General features: G+C 45.3%; 1 pseudogene across 1 annotated transcript, besides 1 other annotated feature; it reads left to right on the top strand.

Moving 5' to 3' along the window:
- Nucleotides 1,423–2,151: an enhancer, noted in NCBI's record as "H3K4me1 hESC enhancer chr16:14918841-14919569 (GRCh37/hg19 assembly coordinates)". NCBI's record gives its function as "activates a minimal SCP1, AML or CMV promoter by ChIP-STARR-seq in naive H9 embryonic stem cells {active_cell/tissue: H9 hESC(naive)}" and the evidence as "EXISTENCE:reporter gene assay evidence [ECO:0000049][PMID:30033119]".
- Nucleotides 2,433–4,708, top strand: ABCC6P2 (ATP binding cassette subfamily C member 6 pseudogene 2; annotated as a pseudogene). The gene is made up of 2 exons (NR_023387.2): nucleotides 2,433–2,501; nucleotides 4,067–4,708. The product of NR_023387.2 is annotated as an ATP binding cassette subfamily C member 6 pseudogene 2 (transcript).
- The last annotated feature ends 13,595 nt before the right edge of the window (nucleotides 4,709–18,303 follow it).

Here is an 18,303-nt window from a genome sequence, read left to right as displayed (position 1 = left end):
CAGGGGGTACACCCACAGTATATTAGGGGTAATAGTATATCCCCAGAATATAACGAATAATATCACAGGGTGTACACCCACCGTGACAATATGGATAATATCTTCCAGGATGTTACGAATAGTATCAAAGAGTATACACCCACTGTGATATTAGGGGCAATATCTCCACAGAATATTACAAATAATATCAAAAGATGTACACGCACTGTGACATTAGGGGTAATATCACCCAAAAATATTACAAATAATATCACAGCATGTACACAATGGTGTACGTTCATTGTGATATTATGATATCCATAGGGTATTACAAATAATAGCACAGGGTGTACCCCCACTGTGATATTAGGAGTCATATCTTTCTGGGAGGTCACAGCGTGTACACGCATGGTGTAAATTCACTGGGATATTAGGAGTAATATCGCCCTAGAATATTTCGAATCATATCACAGGGTGTACACCCACTGTGATATTAAAAGGAATATCTTTCTAGAACATTACAAATAGTATCACAAGGTGTACACCCACTATGAGATTAGGAGTAACATCTCCCTAGAATATTATGAATAATATCACAGTGTGTACAGGCACTGTGATTTTAGGAGTACTACCTTCTTAAGATATTATGAATAATATCATAGGGTATACACCCACTGTGAAATTAAAAGCAATAGCTCCCTACGATATTACGAATAATATCACGCAGTGTACACTCTAGGTGATATTAGGAGTAGTATCTCCCTAGGAAATTACGAATATTATCACAGAGTGTACACCCACTGTGATATTAAAAGTATTATCTTTCTAGGATATTATGAATAATATTACAGGGTGTACTCCCTCTGTGATATTAGGAGTTATATCTCCCTAGGATATTACAAATCATATCACAGGGTGTACACCCACTGTGGTATTAGGTGTAGTATCTCCCTAGGATATAACAAATAATATCACAGGGTATACACCTACGGTTATATCAGGAGTTATATCTTCATAGAATATTACGAATAATATCACAGGGTGTACACCCTCTGTGATATTAAAAGTAATATCTTTCTAGGATAGTATGAATAATATCACAGGGTGTACTCTCACTGTGATATTAGCGGTAATAACTCCCTAGGATATCACGAATTCTATGACAGAGTGTACACCCACCATGAGATTTGGAGTAATATATCTCTAGCATATTATGAATAATATCACAGGTTGTACACCTACTGTGATATTAGGAGTAAAATCTCCCTCGGATATTACAAATAATATCACAGTGTGTACTCCCACTGTGATATTAGGAGTAAAATCTCCTTCGGATATTACGAATAATATCACAGGATGTACACCCACTGTGATATTAGAAGTAATATCTCCCTTGGATATTTCTAATAATACCACAGCGTTTACACACATGGTGTTCACCCACTGGGATGTTAGGATAATATCTCCCTTGGATATTACCAATCGTATCAGAGGCTGTACACACGTGGTGTTCACCCAGCGTGATATTAGGAATAATATCTCCCTCGGATATTAGGAACAGTCTCTCCCTGGGACTTAGCAGAACGTAGCCCCCCAGTGTTAAATAAGCGACCACAGCAAGAGGTAGAGGCGCAGGGACTGAAATGACGACAAATATCTGACAAGTTTAAAACACGTATTTAAAATAGAATTTATAAAATGCTTAATCTGCCGACTCAGGAGCCCGCGGTGCAGGGTGGGGTGGGAGTTGCCAGGTGACCGCTACACCAGCAGAGTAAGACTGCAGGGCTGCGGCCCTCCCTCCTATGCCCTTCTGTTCAGACACCCGAGGGGCCCATGTGCACTCCTGGGATCATACGACCAGAAAACAGGACCCTAGAGGTTTCTTGAGTTTCTGCTTACCAGGGCGGCTGGGTATAGCCCTGCCAGCCCATTGCATAATCTTCTAAGTTCTCCCCACCACCCTCCATTCCAGCAGCGAGGTGCCTGTGACGCGGTCTCCATCCTCTCGGCCTCGACCCGGTGGTCCCCGGGATTGGACGCTTAGGCGGTCACCAGGCCTCCTTGTTACTAACGTGTGCACACCTTTCAGTTCTCTCATCAGGATGAACTCCTGGAAATTGCTGGGTCCAAAGTGTTTGGGAAGTTTGGAGTGATTCTTGTTGCAGGGGGAAGAGGGAACTCTGGAGGTGTCACTGAACTTTCAGGGGTTCCGGGACCCCCCAACCCGGTGCCCGTCCCAGCTCCCCGAGCGCCTCTCTTCCCCCATCCCCCACCTCGCCTGTTTTCACCTCCCGTGGCCTCACTCCCGCCGCGCAGCTGGACCTTGCCCGGGGCCTCCCGATCCTGGAGCTCGAATCCCAGCCGGACCAGCCCAGCCCGACCAGCCCAGCCCCGCCTCTTCTCCGGCAGGATCGCGGCCGAGCAGTCTGCCCAGAGACTTAGCGACAGACAGACGCTGGGACCCACGACGACAGAAGGCGCCGATGGCCGCGCCTGCTGAGCCCTGCGCGGGGCAGGGGGTGAGTGCCCCCCATCGCGCCCCACTCTCCTTTTCCAGGCTTGGTTTGGCTGCAGATCTCTCGGGCTGCGATACTGGGGAGAGGAGAGACCCCCAAATTCCTGGACCCGGGAAGCGAGGAGACTTACTCCGGCCCCCTCACTGCAGCGGGTTGGATTTCTTTCACCAAGCCAGCAGCCGAGAGCCCAGCTCTATTTAAGGGGCCACCAGACCTCCCAGCTACTAGGGGCTTTGACCCTTCTTTGCATAAAGCTAGTGGGTCCCCCAAGCCCTCCTACCCCCGGAGAGCCCTTACCTCTCTGGTTTCTTTTTCCATTGCTCTTAGCAAAGGACTCCAGGGAGTGGAGTTCATGGAGTGGGGGTGGGGGTTGCAAACTGCCAGCATTTCGAGGGCCAGGGAGTTGAAGCAATAAACTGGCAATGAACTGAGGGCTTTCTCTGTGCCTAGCCTTGTGCCCAACCTTGTGCCATGCTGCTATGAACTTTGCTGCTATTCATCCATTTAATACAACTCATAGAGGTAGAGTCTCGTTATCCCCCTTTTGCAGGGAAGGAAACTGAGATACAGAGAGGTTAAAGTTTGCACAGCCGGTGAGTTGTGAAACCAGGAGGAGTAAAAAGACAGCGGAGAGAGAATTGAAGAGGCCACGTCCACTAAACTTCAAATTTCTTCTAGGGTTAGATAGGACCAGCAGACCTGCTGAGATGAAAATAACAGATCAAGCTGGGCCGGTGGCTCTTGCCTGTAATCCCAGTACCTAGGAGGCTGAGGCAGGAGGATTGCTTGAGGCCAGGAGATCGAGACCAGCATAGAGAGACCCCCATCTCTACAAAACATAAAAAAAAAATTAGCCAGGCCTGGTGAGGCGGCTTATGCCTGTAATCCCAGCACTCTGGGAGGCCGAGGTGGGAGGATTGCTTGAGCCCAGGAAATTCGAAGCTTTGTTGAGCTTTGATTGTGCCACTTCAGCCTGGGCAACAGAGTGAGACCCTGTCTCTAAAACATAAATTAATTAATAATAAAAAATAAAAATAAATCATACATCAAGACCACCAGTTGAACGAGGTTTGGGGTCAGATAAGCCTGGGTCAGAGTCAGCTTTGCCACTTCCCATTTGTGTGTCCCTGGGGGAGGCAGTTCCCTGATTGGTGCCTCAGTCTGCTGGTTTCTGAAATGGAGACAGTACTGTCTGCATCCTGGAGTTGTTATAAGGATTAACTGACAGTCCATGCCTAGCAATGATTATGGAGCCCAGGTCTCCTAGACCACATGGCCCAGTTCCCTGGGTTCAAATCCCAGCCCTTCCACTCCTCAGCTGGGTAAAGTCAGCAAAGTTACTCAACCTCTCTGGTCCTCAGCTTCTTCATCTGCATATCAATATAATTGCAACTACCTAGGGTTAATGTCAGGATGAAAGGAATTGAGAATTAGTAGGTATTCCAAAGAGTACTTGGCACATTTTTGTGTAAATGTTAAAGATCCAAAAAGTTGCCTGGCCCCCCAGGCAGGTGAGCTGGGGACCCCTGCCTTGTACCATCCTAAGGGTCCTCTTTGTGTTCCCTCAGGTCTGGAACCAGACAGAGCCTGAACCTGCCGCCACCAGCCTGCTGAGCCTGTGCTTCCTGAGAACAGCAGGGGTCTGGGTGCCCCCCATGTACCTCTGGGTCCTTGGTCCCATCTACCTCCTCTTCATCCACCACCATGGCCGGGGCTACCTCCAGATGTCCCCACTCTTCAAAGCCAAGATGGTAGCTGCCATCCCTGGGAGCCTGGAACCAGGCAATGGTGGGGGGAGGCAGGGGACAGGCTGGAACCTGGTGAAGTCTTAAAGTAGACTCCTCCTATCGGGGTGTAGAAGGGAATCTGTTAATCAAACAGAGCAATATTAGAAAGGCTACAGAGGTCAACTCAGTGGAACACGGTTCTCCCAAACAGATTTTGTAATTCCGAAAATCCACGCATGCGCAAACATACGCATACACTCCCATGTTCCTGGACAGTTTATAGCTACCATAACCTGGCATTTTCCAAAACATACCATGTAGACTCTTGGATACACAAGGTAATTTTAGGGCCACATTAGGATGAACCTTTTAAAAAGTTATGCATTTATTTTTATGTTTCCCCACTAGCTGTATTATAGGACAATTTTTATATGTGATATGTATTTACCTTAGTGTGTTAAATAAACACTGGCATTCCAAGTGTGAGCCTTTCTGCTCATCCATCCTCTTCTACTCCATTCTTGTAGACTTCCAAAGAATGTTCTTCAGAGTTCATTCATTCTTCTGCCATTGTATTAATTTTTACATTATCACCCACCACCAACCCAGGGGTTGGCAAACTTAAAGAGCCAAGTGGCACACAGTATTTGAGACTTTGTGAGCCAGGTAATCTTCCTTCCGAACACTGAACTCTGCCATTCCAGAATGAACGCAATAGTCATAACCATAGACAATAGTCATGACTGTGTTACTTTTTTGTTTTGTTTTGTTTTTGAGATGCAGTTTTGCTCTTGTTACCCAGGCTGGAGTGCAATGGTGCGATCTCGGCTCACTGCAACCTCCGCCTCCTGGGTTCAAGTGATTCTCCTGCCTCAGCTTCCCGAGTAGCTGGGATTACAGGTGCCCACCCCCACACCTCGCTATTTTTTTGTATCTTTAGTAGAAACAGGGTTTCGCCATGTTGGCCAGGCTGGTCTCCAACTCCTGACCTCAGGTGATCTGCCTGCCTCGGCCTGCCAAAGTGCTGGGATTACAGGTGTGAGCCACCACCCCCGGCCGACTGCGTTTCAATAAAACTTTATTTGTAGTCACTGAAATTTGGATTTCATGTAATTTTCACCTGTCATGACATATGCTTTTTGTTTTTCTTTGATGATTGATAGTTTGCCAACTTCTGCTTTAAACTGAGGTTCTTTGAGCAGTTACTCCAACGTAACCTAGCTCTGGCCTTCCCTCTGGTGTGCCCACGTTCTCTCATTTTCTTCCTTTCTTTTATTCAATAGAGAAACCAAAATATATTAGAGAGACCCTAGAGACTTACTGGCCCAACAGAGAGTTGCTCCTTGATTTCATAGCAGGGATTGAAAAATGACTTGGAGAAAGGATAGTTTTTTACCTGGTGAGTACATTTCATTTCCTGCTGTTTCTCCATACCCAGAGTCATCTCATATGTGCACGATTGGAGCACTTCCTGCATTTTGGAAAACACTCGGTTGGCTCAAGCCCTTCCTGTGCATTATTTATATGACAGTTACAGGTCAGGAGTGATCTGCAATGCCCTTTACACATTGTTCACATTGGCACGTTGCTAGCTGGTGACCCTGGTATACTCAGTATCAGCCAGGATGTTGCAGAACCAGCTCCCAGTTGGACATGGGGCTGCTTACCAGTTTGCTGTGACCTCTCTTATTGCCCCCCAAGCTTATCTAAGCCTGTATCCTCAGGTGCTTGGATTCACCCTCATAGTCCTGTGTACCTCCAGCGTGGCTGTCGCTCTTTGGAAAATCCAACAGGGAACGCCTGAGGCCCCAGAATTCCTCATTCATCCTACTGTGTGGCTCACCACGATGGTAATGATGCCTTCAGTCTGGAGCCCGGCTTCCTCCCAGCTGCTGCTTTGCCTGCCACAGTGGAGAACAAGGGGAAGAGAAGAGGCTCCCCTCAGCCTCCCACCCTCCCCTAAGGGGCCTCCCTGACTTTCCCGTCCAGAGCTTCGCAGTGTTCCTGATTCACACCGAGAGGAAAAAGGGAGTCCAGTCATCTGGAGTGCTGTTTGGTTACTGGCTTCTCTGCTTTGTCTTGCCAGCTACCAACGCTGCCCAGCAGGCCTCCGGAGTGGTAAGTCGGGGCGTGGGCCACCCTGGGAAACCAAAATGGTGGCTCATGCCTTGGGTCCCTTCCTTTCTCCTCCTGTTTCCACATACAACTTATTCTCTATACAGTGACACACACAAGCCAGTCACTTACACTCTAGAGACACAAAATCCACTCCCGCACCTGTCAGTACCCATCATCCCATACATTGCTTATCCACACAATTTCCTGTCTTACACGCCCACATCACACGTGCCACTTGCACACGATGCACACACTTATAGGCACTGATTCATACATCGCACAAGTACATGCATGCACGCACACACACACAACCTGGGCACAGACACACCTGTGTGCACACATACCCCTCCGTGCACACCTCCCCTCATGTCATGGATTCACCCTCCCCATGTTCCTATGCACCTATATTTACACACTCATTCTGCACACCACTCGTATTTCTGTTGCCCAATCTGGGAAGCAGCTTTTTTTTTTTTTTTTTTTTTTTGAGAGGCTTGCTCTGTGGCCCAGACTGGAATGAAGTGGCATGATCTCAGCTCACTGCAATTTCTGCCTCTCGGGTTCAAGCACTTCTCCTGCCTCTGCTTCCTGTGTAGCTGGGATTACAGGTGTGTGCCACTACACCTGGCTTATTCTAAATTTCTACTAAATTTCTACTAAAAATTTCTACTAAATTTCTACTAAAAATTTTTGTATTTTTAGTAGAGACGAGGTTTCACCATGTTGGCCAGGCTGGTCTCGAGCTCCTGACCTCAAGTGATCCACCTGCCTTGGCCTCCCAAAGTGTCGGGATTACAGGCGTGAGCTCTTGTCATTCGGCCGGAAGCAGCGTTTCTCTATTAGGAGACATGATGGGTCATTTTCTCTGTAAAGAGAAAAACATGTAGCCTAGACCAACTTCCCTCAGCCTCAGCTTTAGTAATGTTGTGGCCAGACAATTCTTTGTTGGGTGGACAGGGCTGTCTTGTTTGCTGCAGGGTGTGAAACAGCATCCCTGGCTTCTGCCCATAGGTGCCAGTAGCATACCATCCAATTGCAGTAACCCAAAATGTCTCCAGATATTACCAAGTGTCCCTGGGGGTGAGGAGGACAAAGTCACCCACCTATTGAGAAGCACTGGCCTCGACAGTGTGCTTAGCCAAGGCTTCTGGGAGAGGGAGTTATCTTAACACCAATGAACAGGCTGCAGCAGGTTTCAGATATTTTACTTCATTATTTTATTTTTGTGGAGACAACATCATGCTTTGTTGCCCAGGCTGATCTTGAACTCCTCGGCTCGAGCAATTCTCTGACCTCAGCCTCCTAAAATGCTGGGATTAGAGGCATGAGCCACCACGTCTGGACTCACAGATCATTTCTTCAGTCCAGTGGTTACTCCATCCTGCCCCTAAAGGAGAAGGTAGAGAAGCATCACCCTGTCCTTAAGGACAGAGTTTTTATTTTTTGTTTGTTCATTCTGAGACAGAGTCTTTCTCTATTGCCCAGGCTGGAGTGCAGTGGCACGATCTTGGCTCACTACAACCTCCACCTCCCGGGTTCAATTGATTCCCATACCTCAGCCTCCCAAGTAGCTGGGATTACAGGCATGTGCCACCATGCCCGGCTAATTTTTGTATTTTTAGTAGAGACAAGGTTTCAATATGTTGGCCAGGCTCATCTCAAATGCCTGACCTCAAGTGACTCACCCGCCTCGACCTCCCAAAGTGCTGGGATTACAGGCGTGAGCCACAGCGCCTGACCGAGGACAGAGTTTTTAAAAGAGTAACCTTTGTAACTAAGGGGAAATTCCACAGGTTATTCAGTAATTTCTGAAATGGTGGGCTCCCACAGTTGACATAAGTCAGCCTTTTGGGACACAGCATAGAAACAATAATACTGGGACCATATACACTCTGGGGTTCCAACCATGTGCCAGGCACTGTGGCAGGCACTTACACACGTCTCCTCACTGGATTCTCACAAGAGTTCACAGTGATGGGTTCTTCTTTATTTTTTTAAATAGAAATAGAAACAAAGTCTCATTATGTTCCCAAGGCTGGTCTCAAACTCCTGGGCTCAAGCGATCTTTCCACCTAAGCCTCCCAAAGTGCTGGGATTACAGGCTTGAGCCAATGTACCCCAGCCAATGATGAATTCTAGCCGTCCCATTTTAAAGATGAGGGAGACTAAGGCTAGGAGAAGGGAATGACGGCCTCAGGGCCACAAAGCTTGGGAGTGCAGAGCCCGAGTTCATCTCAGGCAAATTCAGAACAAACTTTCTGAGAGAAACAGTGGGGAAACAGTGGGAGTTTAGGGAAGATGGGCCATATTGTCATTGGAATATCCAATTGTCTGCTATCTGCCAAAAAACAAACAAACAAAAAAAACCCAAAACTAGAAGAGTATAAAATCCAGTAGAGGAATCATGATTTAAAACTAGGGCTCTGGTTTAAAGCCATAAAACCTCAGTTCACACTAGCTTAATGAAAAGGGTAAGTCAAGGGGGTTCATTAGCTCATGCATTCATTAGCTCATACCCATGGGATCTCCCAGGCATGACTGATCCAGGCCTGGGACCAGGTACCATCACCAGATCTCCACTTCTGCCTCTTGGCTCTGCCATGTTAGCTTGATTCTCCAATGGAGTGGCAAGAAGAGCCACCAATACCTTCACACTTACATTCTAGCATGTAGCAAAGCCAGCAGAATCTCCCGATGGTTCCAGCTCTCAAGTACCCAGCATGGGGTGCTATGTGCATTCCTAACCCTGCCATGGTAGCCAAAAGACCAGAACGTATTCGTTGGCCAGGCCTCATTCACCCACCCAGCCTCGGAGTAGAGTCAGTTCTGCACAAATCACACGCCCGAACACAAGCAAAAAACTTAGGAAGAAAGAAAATCAGTACATGGAAGAGATCTCTGCACTCCCATGATTATTACAGCACTGTTCACAATAAACAAGATTTGGAAGCAACCTAAGTGTCCATCAACAGATGAATTGATAAAGAAAATGTGGTATATATACACAATGAAGTACTATGCAGCCATAAAAAAGAATGAGGTACTGTCATTTTCAACAACATGGATGTTAAGTGAAATAAGCCAGGCACAGAAAGACAAACTTTACATATTCTCACTTATTTGTGAAAGCTAAAAATTAAAACAATGTAACTCATGAACATATAGAGTAGATGGAAGGTTACTAGAGGCTAGGAAGGACAGTGGGTGGGGGAAATGGGGATGGTTAATGGGTACAAAAAAACAGAAAGAATAATATCTATTTGATAGCACAACAGGGTGACTATAGTCAATAATAATTTAATTGTACATTTTAAAATAACTAAAAGATGCTGGACACAGTGGCTCACACCTGTAATTCCAGCACTTTGGGAGGCCAAGGCAGGAGGATCATCTGAGGTCAGGAGTTCAAGACCAGCGTGGGCAACATGGTGAAACCCTGTCTCTACTAAAAATACAAAAAAAGTAGCCAGGCGTGCTGGCACACATCTGTAATCTCAGATACTCAGGAGGCTAAGGCAGGAGAATCACTTGAATCCAGGAGACGGCGGTTGCAGTGAGCCAAAATCAAGCCACTGCACTCCAGCCTGGGCAACAGAGTGAGACTCCAACTCAATAATAAACTAAAAAATAAAATAACTACAAGAGTAGACTGGATCATTTGTAACAGAAAGGATAAATGATTGCGGGGATGGAGACCTCATTTACCTTGATGTGATTATTATGCATTGCATGCCTGTATCAAAATATCTCACGTCATCCAGAAATATATATATCAGGCCGGGCGCGGTGGCTCATGCCTGTAATCCCAGCACTTTGGGAGGCCAAGGCAGGCGGATCACCTGAGGTCAGGAGTTCAAGACCAGCCTGGCCTACATGGTAAAACTCCATCTCTACTAAAAATACAAAAATTAGCCAGGGGTCATGGCACATGCCTGTAATCCCAGCTACTCAGGAGGCTGAGGCAGGAGAATCGCTTGAACCCAGGAGGCGGAGGGTGCAGTGAGCCAAGATCATGCCACTGCACATCAGCCTGGGTGACAAAGCACGACTCCGTCTCAAAAAAAAAAAAAGTATACACACACACACACATATACCTAAAATTAAAAAATAAAAAATGCTTTAAATTAAAAAAAGAAAGAAAATTAGGGTGTTTCTGACCAGATGACAGGGCAGCAGATGCAAAAATCATTGTGGTGTGGCAGCAGGAGCATCACAATTTGGACCAGATCATCTGCGTGTCCTTGAACAAGGTGCTGTCACTTCTCTGAGCCTTGGTTTCCCCATGAGTCAAAGGAAGCAAGTAAACTCCAGCTGATGAGACTGTGTATGGCAAGAATGTCGCATGTGCTCAGGGCAGGGTCAGTGCTCAATAAAACCAGCTCTCATCTCTGCAAACCAGAGAACCCTGGCCAAGGGGGACTATGAACATTCCAAATGAAGAAAAACAGTGGCTCCTAGACTCATTGCCCAGAGGAGGACTATGAACATCTTAGCAAGTCTCCCCCGAGGTTTTCCTAGAATAGATGTCTCTACGTAGTTAATAAAAACATACATTCAAGTTTTGCAGCTTTTTGCTCCACTTTACACTTTAAGTTGAACGTTTACACTTCCCATTCCAAGATCTTCAGAAACATGTTTAGAAAGAGAAGAATATCCCAACAACAGTCTGTTTAACCTCTTCCCCTAATGCTGAACTATTGTTGCTTTAAGCATACATTTTCTGTGTGTGTTTCAGATGTAGTTTCCTTAGGAAAGATTCTCTATGCTGTGCAACAATTCCCCATGTGTCTCTTACATTTCTGCACATCTTGTGTCAGCGTTTGTTCTAGACCGTCTTCATAAGGATGTTTGTATAGCTAATAGCATTGGAAGATAGGGCTAATATAGTAGAAGACAGATTTATTTGCTGATTAGGATTATAACGATAATATCTCCAGACCAGGCACAGTGGCTCATGCCTGTAATCCCACCAATTTGTGAGGCTGAGGCAGGCAGATGACCTGAGGTTGGGAGTTTGAGACCAGCCTGGCCAATATGGTGAAACCGCCGTCTCTACTACAAACACTTAAAAAATTAGCTGGGTGTGGTGGTGGGTGCCTGTAATCCCAGCTACTTGGGAGACAGGTGGGAGAATTGCTTGAACCCAAGAGGCAGGGGTTGCAATGAGCTAAGATCATTCCACTGCACTCCAACATTGGTGTGACAGAGCAAGACTCTACCTCAAAAAAACAAAAAACAAAAAAAGAAGAAGAAAAAGAAAAAGAAAAAGAAAGGATTATAATGACAATGTCTCCCTCCATCCAGGGTAAAGGTTGAAAAGACCAAGATTCCTAAACTTGGGGTTCCTCAGGTGTGATGCAAATCCACTGCAGGCACAGATTCTACCTGGATCCATCCGTGTATTACTCATTTCTCACACTGCTAATAAAAACATACCCAAGGCTGGGTGTGGTGTCTCACACCTGTAATCCTAACACCTTGGGAGGCCGAGGTGGGCAGATTGCCTGAGCTCAGGAGTTTGAGACCAGCCTGGGCAACATGGTGAAACCTCATCTCTACTAAAATACAAAAAATTAGCCAGGTATTGTGGTGCACACCTATAATCCTAGCTACTCAGGAGGCTGAGGTGGGAGAATCGCTTGAACCCGGGAGGTGGAGGTTGCAGTGAGCCAAGAATGAGCCACTGCACTCCAGCCTGGGCGACAGAGTGAGATTCTGTCTCAAAAAAAGAAAAAAAAAAGGCTAGGCATGGCTGTAATCTCAGCACTTTGGGATGCTGAGGTGGGCAGATCACCTGAGGTCAGGAGTTCAAGACCAGCCTGACCAACATGGAGAAACCCCATCTCTACTAAATATACAAAATTAGCTGGGTGTGTTGGTACATGGCTGTAATCCCAGCTACTCAGGAGGCTGAGGCAGGACAATTGCTTGAACCTGTGAGGCAGAGGTTGGGGTGAGCTGAGATCCTGCCATTGCACTCCAGCCTGGGTGACAAGAGTGAAACTCTGTCTCAAAAAAACCAAAAAAACAAACAAACAAAAAACATACCCTAGACTGAGTAATTTATAAAGGAAAGAGATTTAATTGACTCAGGGAGGCCTCGGGAAACTTACAATCATGGCAGAAGGGAAAGCAAACATGTCCTTCTTCACATGGCGGCAGCAAGGGGAAGAATGAGCAAAAGAAGAAAAAGCCCCTTATAAAACCATCAGATTTTGTGAGAACTCATTCACTATCATAAGAACAGCATGAAGATAACTGCCCCCATGATTAAATTACCTCCCACTGGGTCCCTTCCATGACACATGGGGATTGTGGGAACTACAATTCAAGATGAGATTTGGGTGGGGACACAGCCAAACCATGTCAACCTGTGTCACCCTTGAGGGACTTGGGGGTCAAAGGGAACTGGTGCAGACATGAAGCTCAAGCTTCCTGTTGTACCATGAAAAATAAAGTCCTTTATCTCTCAATCCAGAGTCTCATGTCTTCTGCCCACATCCATAAAACTCGCTAGCCTCCATGTAGGATAATATCTTAGACCAGCACAGTTCTTGACACTCTAGAAGTGAATTTGTTGGATCAAAAAGCATGAACAATTGCTAAAACTCTTAATATGTCTTGTCAATTAGCTCTCCAAACAAATATGAGTCATTGCCTGAAATCTCTTTTGTCCTCAGGAAGGGATAGAGCTGCTTGACTCAGATCTCCCAGGTGGCCTTAGACCGTAATGTCTTCCTTTCGTGCAGAGCTCTTACCATCCTAAGCCACTACTCCTACCTAATATTCTATAAAAAGCTTTTTCTCCCTACCCAGTGTCTCCAATGAGCTGACTTTCTTTTCTGGATTACTCTTTTATGTAATAAAAAGTAGACATGAGGGTCAAACAGAAAGGGAAAAAGGGGAATTTGTTTAATTTCTACCAAGTGCCAGGCATAGTACAAAGAACATTTAGATAAGGCAGAAGGCATTAATTATTTTTATCTACCCAGAACCCCCTGCCCCACCTAAGCACCCCAGCCCCTGACCTGGCCACGTGGGTGGCTATGTGACCCGAGCTGAACCAATCAGAGTCCTTCCCTGGGATCTTTTTCACATCATAACCACATGAGAAGGTCTCCCATTATGAAACAGAGAAGCTTGTTGGCAGCCATGGTTCTAGCCAAGGATGGAAAAAACAACCAAAAAAAGAAAAGAAACAAAAAAAACCCACCATGGTAAAAATATATATATATAAAAATGAAAAAGATATGACAGACAGACAGACATGGGGAATGGTCTCTTTCCAGTTGCCCCTGCCACTCAACTGCTCTCCTACCTTCCTGGATTTGGTTATGAGAGTCAATAAATTATCCCCTTTTATTGCCTAAATGACTTCCATATGAGTTTCTGCTCCTTGCAACCAACATAATCTTGACAATTAATAGTAGCTAGCATTTTGTGAGTGTTTACTGTGCCATGCCCATTAATACACCTAATCCTCTCTACAATTGGACAGGTAAGGTGCTTTTAGTAACCTCCAATGTACAAAAAGGAAAACAAGTTGGGTGAAGTGAAATGACTTGCTCACAGTCGCTGGGCTAACAAGGGGGCAGAGTCAAAGTTTAAAGCCAGAGCCCATACTCTTCCCTATTGTATAACACAGACATGCTGTCTCTGTTCCCAGTGCTGGGGAATGCAGAGAACTGGGGACTGAAGGAAGAGCAGGCGTTCAGGTAAGCATTAATCAGGGGACCTTCCACAAGGGAAAAGGGAGTACTGGCCCAGTTGAAGTCCAGCCAGCACTCAGCGTGGTCAAGGATGGGGTGGTGCTCTCTCCAGCCATTCAAGGTGCTGAGAAAAGAACAGAACTTTCATCTGAGGAATACAAGCCTTTTAAATTATTAGGCCCAGAGAGGCAATAGAACGAGATAGCAATCATGTCCTACATACCCCCTTTGAGCTCGGTATTCATTTCTTAAAACTGCTTGCCATTGCCACAAGTAGCTATAAATTAATCTAATAATGCCCCCACTGGATGCTATAACCCACACCTTATAGCTTAACAATGTATAGCCAATCACTCATCAATGTTATTTCTGAAAACCAGTGAGAATTCCTGACAACCAACTGTGTACCAGCCCACTCCATGTCCCCCTTTTTTGCCTTTATAAATCCACTTGTAACTGCTGCTAATTGGAGTGTATATTCAGGGAAACTTGAATCTACGCTCCCTGGCTACAGTCCTCAAGCTTGGCCCAAACAGAGTCTTTACTTATATTAATTTTGCCTCAGCTTCTTCCTTTTAGGTTGACAGTGCTACAGGCTGAATTATGTCCCCCTAAAATTCAAATTTGAATAAATGTTCAAATATGAATTTGAGGCCAGGCACAGTGGCTCATGCCTGTATCCCAGTACTCTGGGAGGCCGAGGTGGGCAGATCATCTTAGGTCAGCAGTTTGAGACCAGCCTGGCCAACATGGCGAAACCCCATCTCTACTAAAAATACAAAAATTAGCCAGGTGTGGTGACGCATGCCTATCATCCCAGCTACTTGGGAGGCCAGGATAGGAGAATCACTTGAACCTGGGAGGTGGAAGTGGCAGTGAGCCAAGATCGCACCACTGCACTCCAGCCTAGGCGACAGAACGAGACTGTCTCTCTCTCCCTCTCTCTCTCTCTCTCTCTCTCTCTCTCTCTCTCTCTATATATATATATATATGTATATATATATACATATATATATATATATACATATATATATATACATACATATATATATATATATATACATATATATATATATATATGAATTTGAAGCCCTTCAACCATATGGATCATATGTTGAAGCCCTAACCCCCTAGCACCTCAGAATATCACTGTATTTGGAGATAGGGGCTTTAAATAGGTGATTAAGTTTAAACCTATTTAGCTCATTTAGGGTGAGCTCTAATCCAATCAGACTCATGTTGTTATAGGAAGAGGAGATTAGGACACACAGAGAGACACCAGGGATGGACAGGCACAGAGGAAAGACCATCTGAGGACACACCAGAATCGACCATCTGCAAGCCAAGAGGAGGTCTTTGGAGGAACCAACCCTGCTGACACCCTGATCTCAGACTTCCAGCCTCCAGAATTGTGAGAAAATTAATCTCTGTCATTTAAGCCACCCAGTCTGTAGTACTTTGTTATGGCAGCTCCAGCAAACTATATCTACAGTAATCCATCACCACTTATGACAGGCTCTGCCACATAGTAGGTGTGTGTGCACACACCACACACAAACATGTTTAGAATATGAAATCCGTGAACCCTACTCCCACACTGATAACAGTTCAGGAACAGTTGATTTTCCCTCAGGGAATCTGGTTTGTTTTCCTAGTTTCCATCCCATCAAGACCCCTTCCCACCCGCTGGGAAATACTTGCCTGAACCCCTCGTTCCTTTCACAACACACACCTGATGGTAGGAAGAAGCTTCCAACTCTGATATTGACAGGGTGCTTGTAACCTAGCACCCTTTCTCCTACCTTGTTATGGAAAAATAAATCCTTTATCCTATTTCAACTACAGTCTTGGCAAAGGAAAAAACAAAACAAAAAAGGAAACCAGCCTAGAAATGGAAACCAAAGATCATGAACAGTGCTATGCTGAGTTACAGCTAAGGGTTGGCCTTTCTGGAGCTGGCTGCCTTCAGATGGCAGGGCTCTGAGAGTGTGTGTGTGTGTGTGTGTGTGTGTGTGTGTGTGTGTGTGTGCCAGAAGCACAAGATGACACACCCTGTGGTGGGGTCAGGCAAGCTGATTGTGGGAAAGGTGGGAACAGAATATTTTACAACAATGTTGGAAAAATGGGTTTACGTTCTCTGAGAGGAAGATACCCAAAGCTTCAAGCTCACCTCAGGGGAAAATTGAGCTAGGTTCCCATGCTCTCCACTTGGATCTCACGCACATGAACACACATACAACCTTCTCCTCAATATTCACAAGAGGCCTCTGTTGTCTGCTTCTCCAGAGAGCGGAGGTGAATTTACCTGAAGCTAATGAGGCTTGGGCTTCAGGGTCTTTTCCTTGTACCTGTCTCTTTAAATGCTGGACTTGGGGAAGGCTTTAGGTGAGAAGGGAAAGCTGGGTTTCAATAATGAAGCACCTCTATGTTCACATTTCTGATTAATTGCCTACACAGATCCCAGAAGAATGGAATGGAAATAGCTAAAGGCTCCAGAATTTTCTCTTTTTATTTTTTTGAGACAACATCTCACTCTGTTACCCCCAGGCTGGAGGCTGGAGTGTGGTGGCAAGATCATCGCTCACTGCAGCCTCTAACTCCCTGGCTCAAGCGATCCTCCCACCTCGGCCTCCTGAGTAGCTGGGACTACAGGCACACACCACCACACCTGGCTAATTTTTTGAATTTTTTTTTTTGTAGAGATGGGGGTCTTGCCATGTTGCTTAGGCTGGTCTTGAACTCCTGGGCTCAAGAAATCCTCCTACCTTGGCGTCTCAAAAAGCTGGGATTACAGGCATGAGCTACCATGTCCAGGCAGCTACAGGAATATTATACTTAATTTCTCATTCCAAAATAACATTCTCTTTTGTGCCTAATTTTAAATTCATAATTTTGTATTCTTTTTCTTAAACAGAGATCCCCATATTATATAAGCTTCAGTCCCCACAAAAACTGGATCTGGTTCTGCCAAAATGATATATCCTTTATGATATTTATAGAGACGTTCTGATTATTTCTGAACATCTCAGACTTTCTGGAACCAAGACAGGTTCGATTATGAACATCTGTTGTCTAATTTTAAAGACCAAGGGGGAAGCCGGGTCCTTATGAGGGCCATAAAGGCTCCAAGCTAGATGGATATTGGGCGAGTGGGTTAGCAGAGATGTCCTAAAGCAATGAATTACACTAATGGGAAGAACAAAAGGTAAGTCTAATCACAGATGTCTTGGTTTTCAAGCTAGTCAGACTTCAGATAACTGTCAAATCTTCAGCCATAAATCGAAAGTGGAGGAGAATTAAAGACCCATCCTTGTTTGCTTACAGAATTTACTTAATTTAGCCACTCTATCCTTAATTGATAGCAACAGGTTTTTTCAAAATAGCCAAAGTAATCTATGCTTTGCTACATAATAGCAAAAGTAATATCCAACATTCATCAACACCTACTATGTTATACCCTTGACAGGGTTTCCTATTTTAGTAGTCAAAGCAATTTCATGGAGTAGCAATTACAGTTGTAATTTCACTAGTGAGAATGCAGAGTGAGGCTCAGAGAGGTTAAGGAACTTACCCAAGGTCACACAGCTAGTGAGTGGAGAGTTGGAATTTCATCTCTCTGATTTTAAAGTCTGGGCCCTTTCCTCTACTGCCTCTCTCTGAACTCAATGACACATCCTAAGTAAGTAAGGGCTTCTACACAGGATGGGTTAGACTATGCTGCAGTAACAAACAACCCCTGGATCTCAGGAACTTAAAACAAAATTTCAGGCTGGGTGTGGTGTCTCACACCTGTAATCCCAGCACATTGGGAGGCCAAGGCCAGTGGATCACTTGAGGTCAGGAGTTCGACACCAGCCTGGTCAACATGGAGAAACCCCATCTCTACTAAAAATACAAAAATTAGCCAAGCATGGTGGTGGGTACCTGTAATCCCAGCTACTTGGGAGGCTGAGGCATGAGAATCACTTGAACCTGGGAGGCAGAGGTTGCAGTGAGCCGAGATCACACCATTGCACTCCAGCCTGGGTGACAGAGCGAGACTCTGTCTCAAAAAAAAAAAAAAAATCTAGAAATAACTCCAACCTTATTTTCTTGAACACGACTCATCCTGACCCTCCAGCACTCCATTGATCTGGGCTAAATATATGGAATCCTGCAGATGAAGACACCAGCACCCAAAGCTAATGGGACACAGAAAACAGAGGCCACTCAAATAAATGTCAGCACTCCTAGTTACTGAATACTCTGTGT

The sequence above is a fragment of the Homo sapiens genome, chromosome 16 (assembly GCF_000001405.40).
Source record: "Homo sapiens chromosome 16, GRCh38.p14 Primary Assembly".
Lineage (NCBI taxonomy): Eukaryota > Metazoa > Chordata > Mammalia > Primates > Hominidae > Homo > Homo sapiens.
Note: the sequence above shows the minus strand (reverse complement) of the source record. Positions and strands in the feature narration are given on the sequence as shown.